The sequence below is a fragment of the Homo sapiens genome, chromosome X, assembly GCF_000001405.40.
Source record: "Homo sapiens chromosome X, GRCh38.p14 Primary Assembly".
In the NCBI taxonomy this organism is placed as follows: Eukaryota; Metazoa; Chordata; class Mammalia; order Primates; family Hominidae; genus Homo; species Homo sapiens.
The window spans coordinates 17,653,026-17,669,259 of record NC_000023.11 but is presented as its reverse complement, the minus strand read 5'-3'; the positions used below and the strand labels follow the sequence as shown (position 1 = coordinate 17,669,259).

The 16,234-nt window shown below is 45.2% G+C and overlaps 1 protein-coding gene across 5 annotated transcripts in view, besides 2 other annotated features; it reads right to left on the bottom strand.

Annotated features, from left to right (window-relative positions):
• NHS (NHS actin remodeling regulator) overlaps positions 1–16,234 on the bottom strand; it is a 360,795-nt gene that overhangs the window by 66,735 nt on the left and 277,826 nt on the right. The window contains exon 1 of one of the 5 annotated variants that reach the window (NM_001440780.1): positions 12,896–13,176. The exons of the other annotated variants lie outside the window; for them this stretch is intronic. Coding sequence (NP_001427709.1) covers positions 12,896–13,121 — 226 coding nt within the window. The 5' untranslated portion in view covers positions 13,122–13,176. Of the gene's footprint in view, positions 1–12,895; positions 13,177–16,234 lie in introns of those variants that run through there. 5 annotated transcript variants of the gene reach the window in all.
• Positions 11,945–12,655: an enhancer, noted in NCBI's record as "H3K4me1 hESC enhancer chrX:17674725-17675435 (GRCh37/hg19 assembly coordinates)". NCBI's record gives its function as "activates a minimal SCP1, AML or CMV promoter by ChIP-STARR-seq in naive H9 embryonic stem cells {active_cell/tissue: H9 hESC(naive)}" and the evidence as "EXISTENCE:reporter gene assay evidence [ECO:0000049][PMID:30033119]".
• Positions 12,656–13,367: an enhancer, noted in NCBI's record as "H3K4me1 hESC enhancer chrX:17674013-17674724 (GRCh37/hg19 assembly coordinates)". NCBI's record gives its function as "activates a minimal SCP1, AML or CMV promoter by ChIP-STARR-seq in naive H9 embryonic stem cells {active_cell/tissue: H9 hESC(naive)}" and the evidence as "EXISTENCE:reporter gene assay evidence [ECO:0000049][PMID:30033119]".

The window sequence follows — 16,234 nt, the reverse complement described above, 5'->3', positions numbered from 1 at the left end:
CACCCACTATCTCCGTCTGAGGCACTGAAAGACATATGAGTTCTCTGTCTTCCTGGAACTTGCTGTCTACTGGGAGAGATAGATGACAAATAAGCATACAGATGTACTGTCAGGTGGCGTAAATTCTGTGAAGTCAGAAAGTGGAACAAGGTGATAAAGCGTGATGGGGTTGCTATTTTAGAGAGGATGTTGTGGCAGATGCTTCTTGCCTTGCCAATGTGCCTTCAGCATTCACTTCAACAGTCAGAAGGCTGCTTCTCATGATTCCCCAAGACCCTCTGCCTAAGGGTGATTTTTTCCCCTCTGACAATGGGAGAATGCTTGGCCCACACACAGGGCACGCACTGGAGCAGTAACAGATGCCCTCCTCTGTGGTCAAGATAACTCTGAAGTGTGTTCTACACTATCTCCCAGAGTTCCTCAGCAGGACTGAGGCACAGCTACCCACACGGTGGCTGCTTGATAGCATACCTTTCTTAGATCCTTTCCCTTCTCCCTCTCACTTCCCCACTCCCCTGCTGTGTTACTTGGGTTCATCTCTCTGATAGACTACTTGTACTTGAATCCTTGTCTCAGGGTCTACTTCTGGGGGAATTCAAACTAAGATAGTAGTTAGGCAAGGCATCTCTGCAAAGGTGACATTTGAGCAGGCTCCTGATCCAGTGAAGGGGTGAGCTGTGTGAAAATGTGTGGTAAGAGAATTCCAAGCAGAAAGAACAGCAAGTGCAGAGGACCCAAGGTCAGATCTTGTTTGAATGTTTGAGGAACAGCAAAGCCAGAATGCAGGAACAGAAGGAGTGAGGCAAAGGGCATTAGAACAGGTCTTACTTTCCTCATTTCACAGTTACAGTATCTCCTTTAATCCTTTCTTTCATGATTTCCTCCAATATGCTCACTTCTCATTTCTCTGATGGCTCATTTTCTGAGAGTTCTGTCATTTTTTTTTGTATTCTTAATTTCACTCTATTTAACTGTACTTTTGTGTGTGGGTGTGTGTGTGAGACAAGGTCTCACTATGTCACCCAGGCTAGAGTGCAGTGACGTGATCATAGCTCACTACAGCCTTGACCTCTTGGGCCCAAGCAGTCCTCCCGCCTTAGCCTCCTGAGTAGCTGGGACTATAGGTGTGTGCCAACACCCCTGGCTAATTTTTTTTTTTTTTTTTTTTTTTAGAGAGATGGGGTTTTGCCATGTTGCCAGGGCTGGTCTCAAACTCCTGGGCTCAAATGATTTGCCTGCCTTGTCTCCCAAAGGGTTAGGATTATAGGCATGAGCCACCATGCCTGGCCCTTAACTGTACCTTTAAAAAGGAAAAAAAAATGTGAGGCAGAAAAGTCTGATGTGGAACCACTGATTGGTGCAGGGGAGCTGGGAGACTGTCCATGACCCCGCTTAGGGAAGCTGCCTCCAGGGGAAGGCAGCAGGCTCTATGCATTGTCATTGATGCCCCCTCTCCTTGCCAAATCTAAGAAAGATGAGAGGCTTCTTTTCTCCTGCTCCATGGTTATCCTCCTATTGCCAACACCTTCTCCTGAGAACTCGCCTTAGGCCAAGCTTCATCCCATGTGCTTGGCCTTCATCATCTGTGATGCTCACACCACTCTGAAAACCAAACAATACCTACATCTGGCTGAGGAACACAACCTCCTTCCATCTAGTTTACCCTCCTGCGGCAGATGAGGTGCTTCCCCTCACATCTTTGGCTCCACCTGAGACACCTCGGCAGCATTTTCCAAAGCCACAGAGCCCTCGCCGTGCATTCCAGGCCCTGTGGAGGCAGCTAGTTTGATCCTGAACAGGAGACTCCAGATCACAGACGATGTGGAGTTCTCTTTAGGCAGCTGGCATGAGCTTAGCACAGATGCCTCCCAAAGCAGGACTGCTTTGCTGACTCCTGGGAGGTTTATCCTCAAAACTCCCTGCCTTAACCCATATCCTGCCTCTCTCCATTTGTGCTTCTGGCTGGAGCTACCACGTAACCAACGGCAGAGTCTATTAGTGCTTCGTTCTGCTCACAGTTCCTCTTGGAGGAGTTGGCTTCTAAAAATTAGTTAGCAATAAGTGAGCCACGAGATTATAAATATTAAAGCCTGAAAGGCAGGCCAGAGAGTCTGAGCTCTATTGGCAGAAGTAATCTGTAATCCGTATGGGGAGTCCTCAATAAGTCCCTTAACATCTCTAGGACTTAGCTTTCTCTCAGGCTGGAAGCAATAACAAATAGGTTTTAGAGCTCCCTTTTGCTCCTTTCTAAGTGTCCTTAGTGTTTACCAAATTTCCATTCCACATCCATATTTCCCAGCTTTCTCAGCAGTTCTATGGGGGCCAAATGACTCAGTGTTGGCTAAGGAGATGTAGGCAGAAGTGATGTACACCACTTCCAGGCTGGATCCTTAACCAAACTTCCCAAGAGCCTTTGTTCTCTCTTTTCGCGTGCTGCTAGGAGGGTACATGACTTACACCAGACTTTGTGTAAGGAAGGAAGAGAACTTTTATTGTGTTAAAGCACTGAGCTTTGTTGGCTTATCTGTTATCATAGCATAGCCTATCCTATCCTGATGAATCCAGTTTTTTATCCTGCCTGCTCATTCATTCATTCATTCATTCACTCATTCATTCATCCAGTTGCTCATTCATATTTTCAGCTTTCATTCATTCACTTGGTATTAACTAAGTGTGTACTGCATGCTGGCACTAGTACTTTAGCATAGATAAACCTTGGGGTCTTTTCCCAGAGGAGCTGGATGTCCAGGTGAGGAGATGGATATGGGAACAGAGAAAATATTAAGAGTGTGATAAGTTTGTACTAGGTGCATAACACCACGTTGTGTACAGAGAAATACTCAGAGGCCTTTCCCTACTTGGTCCTAGCTCCATTCTTTATCAAATTTGTTTCACCTAGGCAGTGCTTACCACTGCATACTGCACCATTCTAAAAGAGTTGCATTTACCTCTACCCTTCTCCTTTCACCAATCCATCATTCTAAATCATTTCCCTCAATACCATTTCTGCAGGCCGTGCCCCTGTTTGAAAATAATATAGGGGTTTTTCATTTCCTACATAAGATCTAAACTCCACAATTTGTCATTGATCTGGCTCCAAGGTATCTTTCTATCATCATTTTCCACTTCTTCTTTACCCAAAACTTCCACTACAACCAGATGGGGATAATCCATATTAAACAACCCACACCATTGGTAATCCCACACCCCATGTCTTTTCTCACACCATTCTTTCCCCAGGACTCCCCTCCTTGTCTAGCCAATCTCTTCTCTTCAAAGTCCTACTTCAGGTGATATGTTTGGTTTTTCTGCCTACTCTAGCCTACAGTATTGATACATTTAACAACTTAGATGAAACAGAAAATTCCTTGAAAAACTTAGCAAGGGACACAGGAGAAACAGAAAATACAAGTAGTCCTGTAAATTCTAAAGAAATGGAATTCTTAATAAAAACCACAAGGAAAATTCCAGACCCAGATGGCTTCACCAGTGAATTCCATCCAACATTTAGGGAAGAAATAATACCAATTTACATAAATTTTTCTAGAAAATAGAGGAGGAGAGAACACTTCCCAACTCATTGTATGAAGTCTATATAATCCTAATATGGAAACCTGATGACAGGCATCTCTGAAAAATCTATAGGTACTCACGCCTGTAATCCCAGCACTTTGGGAGGCCGAGGCGGGTGGATCACGAGGTCAGGAGATCGAGACCATCCTGGCTAACACGGTGAAACCCCGTCTCTGCTAAAAATACAAAAAATTAGCCGGGCGAGGTGGCGGGCGCCTGTAGTCCCAGCTACTCGGGAGGCTGAGGCAGGAGAATGGCGTGAACCCCAGGGGGCGGAGCCTGCAGTGAGCCGAGATTGCGCCACTGCACTCCAGCCTGGGCGACAGCGAGACTCCGTCTCAAAAAAAAAAAAAAAAAAAAAAAAAAAATCTATAGGTAATATACTTAATGGTGAAATGTTGATTTCCCTTAAGATTGGGAAGAATTTTAAAAAACACTCTCACCAGTGTAATAAGACAAAAGATAAAAAAGAAGAATACTGTCATTATTTAGACAACATGATTGTGTAGGTTAAAAACCCTATGGAATCTACAAAAAACTGCTAGAACTAAAGAGTGAATTTAGAAAAGTCGCTGGATACAAAAAGGTCAATATATAAAAATCAATTGCATTTATATATACATACATATAAATATAATTGATTATATATTATTTATGTATTATTATATATAAACTAGTAATGAAAAATTAGAGAATGAAATGAAAAGAATACCATTTATGATAGCATCACAAATATCAAATACAAAGGACAAACAAATCTAACAGAAAATATACAAGTCCTCTACACTAAAATCTGCAAACTTTGCTAAGAGAAATTAAAGAAGACCTATATGATCAAAAGCTATAGCATATCCAGGGCCTGAAGATACAACATTGTTAAAAATGTCCATGCTCTCCAAATCCATCCATATATTCAAATGAATGCCAATCAAAATCATACCATGCTTTTTTGAAGAAATTGACAAGCTGATTCTAAAATGTATATGAAAATGCACAGGTTCTAGAATAGCTAAAACAATCTTGACAGAGAACAAATTTGGAGGATTTTTACTATCTGATTTCAAGACTTACTATAAATCTACAGAGGTCAAGACAGTGTGGTTTTGGCAAGAAAGTAGACATTATAGATCAATGAAGCAGCACAGAGAATTCAGAAATAGACCCACACATACACAGTTGAACTGATTGTTTGAAAAAGGCGTTAAGTCAATTCCATGGGAGAAAGGAAGGAGTTTTCTGGTTTTCTTTTTACAAATGGTTCTGGAACAACTAAATATACATATGGGGAAAAATGAATTTTGACCCTACCTTACTCCATACACAACCGGTAATTAGGGAAGGACCATAGACCTAAACATAAAAGCTAGAACCATAAAACTCCTAGAAGAAAATGTATGAAATAATATTCATGAACTTGAGGGAAGCAGATTGTTCTGACCGTGCCCAAAAGAGGCTAGTCATAAAAGAAAACATTGATAATTGGACTTTGTCAAAATTAAAAATTTCTGCTTATCAAGAGAACACTATTAAAAAACAGGGCAGGTAAGGACTGGGAGTAAATATTTGCAATACAAATATCTAACAAAGAACTTTTACTCAGTGTATATGAAGAGCTACTACAAATAAAAAATATCAATAATAAAAAGACAAAGAATTAAAAATGAGAAAAAGGCTTAATTAGACACCTCACAAGATATATGAATGTCTACTAAGCACGTGAAAAGGTGTTCAGCATTATTTGTCATCACAGAAATGCAAATGAAAACCACAATGAGATACCATTTCATATCCATTAGAATGGCTCCTGACATACCAAGTATTGATGAGGATGCAGAACAACTAGAACCCTGATATGCTGGTGATGAGAGTGCAAACTGATACAATTTTTGAAGAATCTCTGCCAGTTTCTTATAAAACTAAACATACATTTACCCTATAACTAAGCAATTTCACTCCTAGATATTTACCAAAAAGAAACAAAAAATGTAAATCCACAAAGATTTGTACAAGAATATTCTTAGAAGCTTTATTCATAATATCCCCAAACTGGAAACAGCCTAAGTCAATGAATAAAGTATGGTATATTCTTACAATGGATTACTGCTTAGCAATAAAAAGAATAAACTACTGATACATACAACAGCATGGATAAATTTCAAAAATACTATGCTGAATGAAAAAGGCTGGACATTTTTTAAAGTCATACTTATGATTCAATTTATATAAGCTCTTGAACAGGTGAATCTAATCTATATGATAGAAATCAGAATAATGGTTGCCAAAAGGTGTGGGAGAGAGACTGGAAAGGAGTACTGAAGACATTTTGGGATGATGGAAATGCATTATATCTTGTTTTGGGAGGTTGTTACATGGATGTATATGTCAAAGCTCATTGAACTTAACACTTAAGACTTATGCATAACTCAACTGTATGTAAATTACATCTCACTTAACAAAAAATATTACTCCTTCCCTCTCCCCTCCATGCCACGAAATGACATGTTGGATGCTACTGTGTTGTGTCATTATTTATTATTTCCATGCATGGTTATCCATTTTAAACTTTCTTAGATTCCTCAAGCAGAGCCTGCACAATACTAGGGAGTCCACATTTGTTGAATGAATGAATGAATAATAATCAGAGTAAAATGGAAAGGAAAAGTAAAGAAAAGTCAAAATATAACATCATACCAATTTCTACTGTTTCTATTTTCCTGGGAGTCAACACCATTGCAAACACAGGTCCCTATTCCCAATGAAAAACAATAACCCAATATCTAAGACATTTTGCTTCTATTTACAATAAAAGAGGAGGCAAGGAAATAAGAGAAAGCTTTTTGTCTCCTAGATTTTGAGGTAACACCACATTATTATTACTGTATTTCTTAACTGTGGTGAGATAGACCAAAAGACATCTGATGAATCACCTTTTCATTCATAAAACCCTGCTTATATCTTTCATCACTTTTATTCTGCTAGAATAATAGCAGAGAAACAGTACTTGATGGGCCTGCATTATCAGACGCTATTGGAAAGGTCTAGATAAGAGCGCTGAACCACCTATTAGTATTCTGCATGCAAACCCTTCTCTATAACCCAGAGTCATCCGTATCCTGGCAACCCTCAAAATTTCATTCTCATTGAATTGCTAGATCTTTATCAAAATATAATTATAGCCTTAATTTGAAAGATAAATTTTGATTGCCAGTGCCATGCCCAAAGGAAGAAATAATCAGGTGGGAGAGCACTTAGGCACAATTGTTAACCATATAATCAATGTCATGAATCATCCATCCCCTAAAAAAACACAAAATACAACTTTGGGGGATGTTGTAAGGGGTAGTATGAGGAGGGGAAAATCCTTGAGGCATCAGACTTACTTGTGACTCTGGTACATTATGTTTGCTTAACTTCTCATGCTGTCACTTAAGTGCTTGTCATGTCTTCTCAATTGGAAGTTTGGGGAAGGCCCAGGCTGCACGTCCCACTTCTGTGTGTGCCCACAGTGGCCCAGCCTGTAGTAGGAAGTAGCCCAATCTATAACCCCTCCTTCACTTGACCTCCAGGAAAGTTCCCTGGAAGTAAGCTTTGAGACAGAAATTGGGGTGTGGGAAGCATATCAGGAAATGTTCTCTGGGGCAACACCTGTGGAGGAAATGGATTAAGCAGGGCTGGGCAGAGCGAGAAGTTGGGCTAGGAGAGTCACAACAAAGGCTCAGCCCATCCCATGGGGAGCTCTAGAGCTGGGATGGCCCTGTAGAATTGTCCTGAGTTGAGGCAAGGTGAGTGGGCCTTTATACTACCGTATTGACCATTCATCAGATGAGTGCTGCCCTTGGAAGGAATGTGACCTTAGACGGGGTGACTTTCTTCAGGGAAGGACAATTCCCAAAGAGGGATGCAGCTGTGAGCTGTCAGCCACCGCGCCTAGCCCTGGCAAATGAGTGCTTGGGGAATAAGTGCTTGAGCCCTGATGAAGAGGGGTAGACAGTGAATCAAAGTAGCCACTGCACCCTCACTGACTACAGTGACTCAGAAGCCTGGGGAAAATAATCTGAAATGGAGTCCCAATGGATTGAACCCACTAGCCTGTTTCTGCAGGAGAGCAGCTCTACCTCCTGAGGCAGGCAGGGACTCCTGTTGTGCATGCTGAATCCCCTCGGAATGTGTGACTTGCCAGAGAAAAGTAAATGGAGATTAGAAATATTCCTGTCTTCGAGAGGGGAACATCACACACCGGGGCCTGTCAGGGGGTGGGGGGCAAGGGGAGAGGGATAGCATTAGGAGAAATACCTAATGTATGCGGGGCTTACCACCTAGATGATGGGTTGATGGGTGCAGCAAACCACCATGGCACATGTATGCCTATGTAACAAACCTGCACGTTCTGCACATGTATCCCAGAACTTAAAAGTATAATAAAAAGAAAAAATAAATATTCTTGTCTTCTCATCCAATTGGTATGCTCCTGCCTTTTCAGAAACTATCCTTAGTTTATGTCTGAGGATAGGTATTGATACCTTTTAAAAAATGGATACCTTTGAGACAGTATGGCAGCGGCAAGAGAGCAGAAGTCACACACTTCTGTTCCCCTTCTCTTTGGGCAGTCACATCTACAGCCTTGATGCTTCCGTAGGGCATAAATGATTCGTTAGTTTCAGGATGAAGAAAGAATCAAGCATCTATTAATATAATAGTCTTGCTCCATTGGAGCAAAAGGAATGGATTTTATCTAACCTACATTTTAATGTACCATCAACTCCTCCTGAGATCTTTGGGAATCCTCAACTTTGTAAATACAGAAGCTTCAGACTTTACCTTTGTGGATGTCTACTTCCAGGTCTCCTGTTATTTATGCCCTTGGTCAATTCCCTTACCTGAGGTTTGGGCTGGGCCTGTGACTTGCCTCATTCTGTTGGTAAAACAAGACACAGGCCCAACCTAAGAAAACCTGGAAGCTCCTGCCTTTGCACCCTTGGGCACTCTGAGTTGCCAGGTAAGAAATCCAGTTACCCTGCTGGAGTGATCACATGGAAAGACCACTGGGAAAGACTATGTGGAGAGGGAGAATCCCTGAGACTACCCAGAAAGAGACATAAGCACAGCCAGCCCAGTGACCCAGCTGAACCTTGCCTGCAGGTGACATACCATCTGACCAACCACCAGCAAGACTAGCAGAGCTGTCAAGTTGAGCTTTTCCCAGATTGCAGAATTTTGAACCAATAGATTGGCTTGTATCTTAAGCCAGTAAATTTTGGGGGTGGTTTCTCCTGCAACAATAGATAAACAACCACAAAAAGCAATTTCTTCCAGAGTTAAGTGACTATGATGGCCTTGCCTGCCCCTACCAAGTCAACTGCCTCTTAATCTTGCACCAAAGGTTATGGTTGACCACGGCTGCTTTTCACAAAGAAACAGACATTTTTATTACTTCACAGTGGTAACGGACTACACAGTAGTGTCTATCCCAAAAATCTTGAAAGAAAAAAAAAGCTTCATTGGGCTGTTGGAGCTGGAGGTTGGGAGCTGAGCTTCTTCACTAGCTGAGTAGCTCAATCCTGTGTATCCATTTTATATGCTTGAGGCTCAAAGACATGCCTCAGCAAATTTACAAATGACTCCCCTCATGGATCTTCAAGGTCACTCACTTAAAAAGGAAATTAAAAATGTCCCAATTGGACATCTCAGAAAGGGCTGGAGAAGGAGTCTACCAGATCAGAAAGGTAGTATGGTAAAATAGTCCAGGGTTGGATTCTGGAGCCATAGTGCCCAGGATCGAATCCCAAATTTGTCACTTGTTTGCCGTAAAACCTTGGGCAAGTTATTTATTCTCTCTGTGCCTCAGTTTCTTCATCTGTAAAATGGGGATAATAATAACCTCTACCTCCTAGGCTTATTGTGAGGATTAAATGAGCTATATGTGTGCAGGGCATAGATTAGTGTCTGGTTATTCTTTGCCTGATTATAAGTGATTATACAGTAAGAACCAGAAGAAGATCATACTTGGATTTTAAATCATATGAAGTCACTTTTAATGACTACACATTATGAAAGCATGTCAGCTTTCAGAAACAATATCCTATATAACTGTTTTCATAAGATGCCAGGGTCAACATAGCATGGTAGAAGGAGCACTAAGCCAAGAGAAGGGGATCTAGGTATGATTTCAGCCCTGCCATAAACCAGCTGTGTTATATGGGGAAAGTTATCTATAAATTGAGGAAAATGATAATGACCTTGCCTACAGAGGTTGGACCAGATGGTCCCTGTAGGAGCCTTTTATGTTGCTACATCTTTCCAAATCCCTTTGAGACAGGAAAGAGGAGGTGGAATTACCACCATTTTTAAGATGGAGATCTGTATTTGCCATATGACTTGTCCAGAGCCAAAGTCCAATCTCAAAGTAGAGCTTAAAAAGGGCCCCTCCATGCCAGAGAGTGTACTGCCATAGCACAAACTGCACACAGACTAGATTTCCCAGTCCCCTTGCAGTTAGATGTGGCCATGTGATTGAGTTCTGGCCATGGAATGTGGGTGGGAGTGAGAGGTGCTGCTTCCAGGATAATCTTCCATGTTCTTGTTTTCCCTTCTGGATGCAGAAGACCCAGCAGGGGCTTCAAGGCCCTAGGGAATGGTAGATTCATAAGAAGAGAAGAGACTAGGTTCCTTATAATCACAAGACAAAAAGCTGGTTTGACATTATGTAAGACATAAACTGCTATTGTGTTAAACCCTGAAATTTGGGGCTCACCTATTATGGTGTTTATCCTTCCCTGACCAATATGCTCACTGTGGGTCTCTAGTCAATTGCTGGTTTAGGTTCTGATCTTCAAGAGGAAGCAGCCCTTTCTATTTAAGACCAAGGGATCATTGATATCTTATTTGGTACAGGTCGAGCCAAGCCAATGATGTTCTTAAAAAACTGAAATCTCAACCCGTGGTCTTCCCATATCTACTCTTCTAAGCTGGCCAAACTTGGCCACTGTTGCACTGGCCTTATACTACATTTCATCATCATTAATCCTTTGTCTTCCATGGGGAACACAAAGATGGTGGAAATTTTAAAGATAAACTAGCAACTGTGTGCAAGTCTCCACTAGAAGACTAGAGGAATGATGGATATCTCAAAGGTGCTGTTTCCTGGTCTCTTCCTTCCCCCCAGTCACGATCTCTATCTTAATAGTTGCCCAGTGATTATAGTTATGACATACAGAAAATAAAGGTAAAAATTTTCAATCAAAATTCATTTTGAAAGAGAGGAGAAAATCACTTGGTAGATTCCATCTTGAACAGAGAATGCTTGCCCTTACATTCCCTTGCTGTTTAGTTCATTTATTTCACTGGAGAAAAAAATAGGCATTTACATTTTTCAGCAATTGCTAATGCATTCTTGCCAAAAAAAATAAAAATCCTATCATCCAACCAAATCAAGAACAGAGGGGGCCTTTTTTCTTCAAGCTGGACTTTACCACCATCACCACGAAAGAAAAAGTGAACAGGGAAGAAATGAAGGCTTTTGAAAATAAATAATGAGGGGAGCCTAGCAGGCTCACAGAATCTAGGACCCACAGAAGACCTGCACTTCCTGCTTCCACTGCAATCACTGCAAAGTCCTCAGTCCCTTCCTATCTCCATTCCAGGCGGCCTCTTCACCATCAGCTGGAGGCGGCCCCCTTCAGACAGGCTGGCGCCACCCTCCTGCTGACCAGGAAGAGGCTCCTCACCCAACTGTCCAGGGGTTTCCACCTGGAAAGGAAAGAGTAGTAGCCCAGCTGCTATGAACACAGTAGGAAGTTGGCATGGTTTGAGTGCCACCTGGCCCCTTTTGTCCCTCTGTATTCTGGAACGAACTCCACTGTGAGGGAGTTGCTTGTTGGCTTTAAAGTGCAAAGGAGGAAGCCCCATACATATGGCTGGATCCAACCAGGGGATGTAAAGCCAGGGATGGATATCCATGGCTGGGGGCAAAAGAGGGACCCCTGTCCAGGCTCCCATCCTCCAGCCTTGCAGCCCAGTGGCTTTGGGCCTCACCCGGGAATGGATGAGGCTTCTCAGAGCTGCTGCCCTTCTCACATGGACCAGCACTCAGCATCCCTGCCTTGCCTTGAGACCTGAAGGTGAATTGCTCTGAAGGATGTGTGGACCTGGTCTGAGGCTGTCTGGGGGCCCAAGTTTGGCCCACCCTCAGGGAGCTGGTAACGGAGACCCCACCCCTCTAATAGCGGGGTCAAGCCAAGCTGTACCTCCAACTGCAGGGCTATTTTTAGATGCTCGTTATCTTTGCCTTGCTCACAAGCAGCTGTGAAAAACAAACTGGTCACCAAGAGGCAAGAAACTGTAAAATAAAAGCCTCATAAAACAAGAGCTCCAAAACTCCAGAGCATACCACAGTATGGCAAAACACTGTGCACCATCATGGCGGGGCCTGCTGAGTCTTCCCCGCAGGGGGGTGAGGAAGGGTGTTGCTCTTTCACTGCCCACACATTCCTGGCCTAGCATGCCCTGAGCAAGTCCAGCTTTGGCTCACTGTCCCTGGAATGGCTAGTGGGTCAGGCTGCCCCACTCATGCGCACAGATGGTGACCCCAGGGGACAGGTGCGCCAGAGAGGTGGGGGCGATGGGGTTAACACTGCCACAAAAGGAAAAGCTCCAGCTCACTCCCCTCTCTTCCAGCTCATCCTAACAGTCCATTTGCCTTACAGCATCACAGCTCCTTGACAGTGAAACCCCTGCACAGGCAAAATGTCATCCAACACCAAGTGGCAGGGCAGGAAAACAGGAGAGGGCACCAAGCGGGATCCTCGACTTCTCCCCAGCCCTTAGAAGCCCTCAAAAGGCCAAACCTCAGGGCGCCCTTCCACTCACAGAGCCGTCGAATCCTCATTCCCCCTGCAGGAAACCCAACACCAGGCGCTGCAGCCCCTGCAGACCCCTCCACCCAGAGGGTAGGCAGCGTGGGAAAGTGCCGCCCCGCCCCAGAACCCGGGATCAGGGTAGGGAGGAGGCGGCAAACTTAAAAGCTGCAGCTGCAATATGCTTTTAAAAATAATAAAAGACCCCTGAAAGCCAGCGCTGTTCCCTTTGCCCCTGCGAGCTATGCGCGGTCCACCTGGACTGTCAGCTCACCCTCGCTCAGCTCTGCCAAGGGGACCCAGCTCTCAGATCTCGACCAAGGGGGATCTCCTCTCGGGCTAGCGCGCGGCTGGCCTCGAGCCTCCCCCAACCCCCAAGTTCACCCAGCACCCAGAGGTGCGAGAAATTAGTTTAAAATGATGTCACTTGCCCATACCCCCTCCCCCCAGGCTGGTCCCATCTCACACACCCGCATGGCCTGGGCTGCGAGTCGCGGAGCATCCCGGAGGGTTGCGGTGGGGCGCCACGCCGAGGCTAGCCTCCCCTGGCGCCCGCTCAGGCTCAGGCTCGGCCCTGGGCAGCCCGCCCGTGCATCGTTCCCCTGGTGCAGAAATCCTACCGCCCGTGCGCCCTGGGCGCGCCGCCGGGCCCCGCGCCGGCTCCCCGGGAATGCGGCCGTCAGGTGAGGTAGGCATGCGTGCCGGCTCCGCAGCGAAGCAGCAGCTGGCTGGGGCGCTGGGCTCGGAATCTGCCTCTTCTCCCTCTCCCCGCAAAAGAGAGGCCTCTCGGGGACTTTCCAGCGCATTGTTGCGTTAGGACTGCATTCCCCCTTCCTTTTCCTTTTATCTTAGTTTCTCCTTCAGATGCAAAAAGAGAGATCGCAGGAGTCCATGCCCAGCTCCAGCCTAACTCGGTCCACAGGCAGAGAATTATGAATGGATGCTGCCTTCTGATGAGGAAGTCGACTGGGGAGGTCTCTGCGCACGGCGCGCTCCATCAAAGCAGGGGCATCGGCCCCTCCACTGCTTCAATGCTGCAGGCTGAGACACCTAATTGACCACTGGGAAATCAGGTGCCGGGAGACCTGGGCGGGACGTAGCCCTGGGGCCACGCTGGGATCGAGAGCCTTGTCGGTGTAGACAGCTTCGATTTACAGCTCAGTGAATGGAGAGGACTGCGGCAGCCAAACCTCCGGGGCAGCAAGGCACGGCTGCACCAATGCTCCACGGACAGCCGCCTGGCTCTGCGAGTATCTCCCAGCTCCACCGGGCTAAAGGGAACCTGCTAAAAATAATCCGTCCCCTGCTGCCAGCCGCAGTGAGCTGCAGGACTCAGTCCCCAGCCCCAAACTCGGTGGCGCGCGGGAGCCAGCCACAAAGCCCGGCCTGTGAGCTTAGACAAGCCGGAGGCTGCGGAGGATCCCGGATCCGGATTTCTTGTACCTCTGTGTTTCCTTCTCCCGTAGCGCGACCGCTGGGGCTGCGCGTTACCCATGCCCAGAGTGGCGGCGGGCTCCGCACATCACCAACAGGCTGGACCGACCGCAGCTGCTCAGCACCGCACCCCCGTGGCTCTCTTCTCACCTCCCTTATCCCTAGTCTATGGCCAACAGCAGAGGAAGGAATCAGAAACGCCGACCGTGCCAACCCCTCCAGCCCGGGCAAGAGGGTGGACAGAGACTGGCGTAGAGCATGTGCCCGCATATAACAGGACTAGAGCACCCGAAAAATGTGACATTGCGTCCCCTCCCCCCATTCATCTCCGGATGCTGAAACCTCGCATCCTAGACACATCTCACCCTGCCCAGGCTGAAAAACACTGCAAGGACAATGCCTTTGCAGCCATGTATTAATCTCCAGGGAGCGGCGATTTACTAAACCAGATCTGAGGTTGAACCAGGATTAAAAACCATGGCAGTGTGTGCCCATAGCTTAAGTTGGTAGGCTCTCCATATAGCGACCTAATGCAGAAGGCAGAGAGCCATTTAGGGCCACTTCAAAGACAACACTTATGGGATATATCCTAATACCATACATAACAAGAAGAAACCCAGTGAATGAAATTATCCAAAGATGACTTGTGGGATGTTGTTTTTGGTAATATGTCTTTGAAACCTATTTAGGGAAAACTTGACTCTTTTCTGACTGGGTTGCCTATTTTCAACTAGGGATGTTTAGGCGCTGGGCAGATTTGCATGTGTGGGCAATACTATATCCACCAGGCCTGTAACTTCTCCAGAATTCACAATTGTGAAACACTCCACTTGCCAAGGTCATAAGAAATCTTGGGGTTTGCCTGTGTGTGAAATAAAGAATATTTCCTAATTGGCATTACTGTGAATTAATGATTGTGGTCACATGAAGTATCACCTAGAACCCAAGTCAGTCTGGGTTAGCTGTTCTCCACTAGCCTCCTTGGAGGGCTGCCAGCTGCTGGCAACGACAGAGAATCTGGTGGAAGTCCCCCGGAAGACAGAGTGTGGCTGGGACAGGAAGGATGAGGTGGGAGGAGATGGCATGGCCACTCCCCCAGTGAAGGTGAGAAGACAGCCATGCACCCCAAGGTTTAAGGGGTGGGTGGGTAAAGGAAAAGGTCATCAGAGAGGAAGAGACATTACTCAGAGAAGCAGGAGACCAGGATGGAAGGGGGGAAGGGCCCCATCTCAGAAACAGGGGGATGGACGAAAGAGTTTTAAGAAGGCTGGGTGATTTATAATGTCAAATGTCACCGAGGGGTCAGTGGGAGGAGTTCTGCTGCCAAGGGCAGACCTGGACCCCTAAGGCTTTGGGAAGGCTTGATGGATTGGCTACTGATGGGAGATGTGAAGTGGGTGGGAATACCAGTCAGAGCTTCTCAAAGGTAAAGGGAAGTCCTTCCCTTAGCCTTGCTTCTCAAAGGACCGGCAGCCCCTGGGGGTTTGGTAGAGATACACCTTCTCAGGCCTTCCCAGACCTGCTGAATCAGACTCTGGGGTGAGGCCTGGCCATCTGTATGTTAACAAGCTCTCAGATCAACTTCAAACAGGAAGCCTCACCATGTACAGACTCAAACCTCTCAGGTCTTGACATGAGAATTTACATTAGGGTGAGCAAAATGGCTGCCCTCGACAGCAATCCCTGGCAAGTGCATGGGTAGCTAGTGGCCAAGTCACTAATCACACAGCCCAAGGAAATGAACTGCATTGCTCCAGGTTTTCAGGTCTGCTCTATCACGGGAGAGCCTTGACAATGAAGTCTGCAGAATTCCACAAAGCAATGAAAATGGCCCTGTCTTTTCTCCTTTGTATTGATCTTTACAATAATGAGGTGGTTGTTAACAGTGATGGCAAAAATAATGATATAACTAGATTGCTTAAATTTGAATGAGATTTTAGCAAGTCCCATGGCAGAGAGGTTAAAAAAAAAAAAAAGAAAAAGAAAAGAAAAGAAAACCACATAGGCTTTGTACCCAGAAAGACCTGTGTTTGAATCCTAGCTCCTCCAGTTCTTAACAAGTGTGGCCTTGGGAAAATTATTTGACTCTCTGAATCTTGAACCTTCTTTGAATCAGTTTCTCATTTGTAAAATGAAAATAAGAATACCTAATTTATAGAGTTGCTTAAAAGAGTAAATAAAACAATAAAGCACAATGATAGTGCCCAGCACGTAATAAAAGCTCAACAAAGATGGTTCCTTCCTACCTGTGTTTGAGGTCTTCACACATAATGCTCATATTGCATTTTTTTAGGTCCCCCTATCCCCTGTATGGTGGTTAGGGTACCTGAAGCTTCCTATGGATCAAAGGTTCAAATATAAGCCCTTATTGAGTA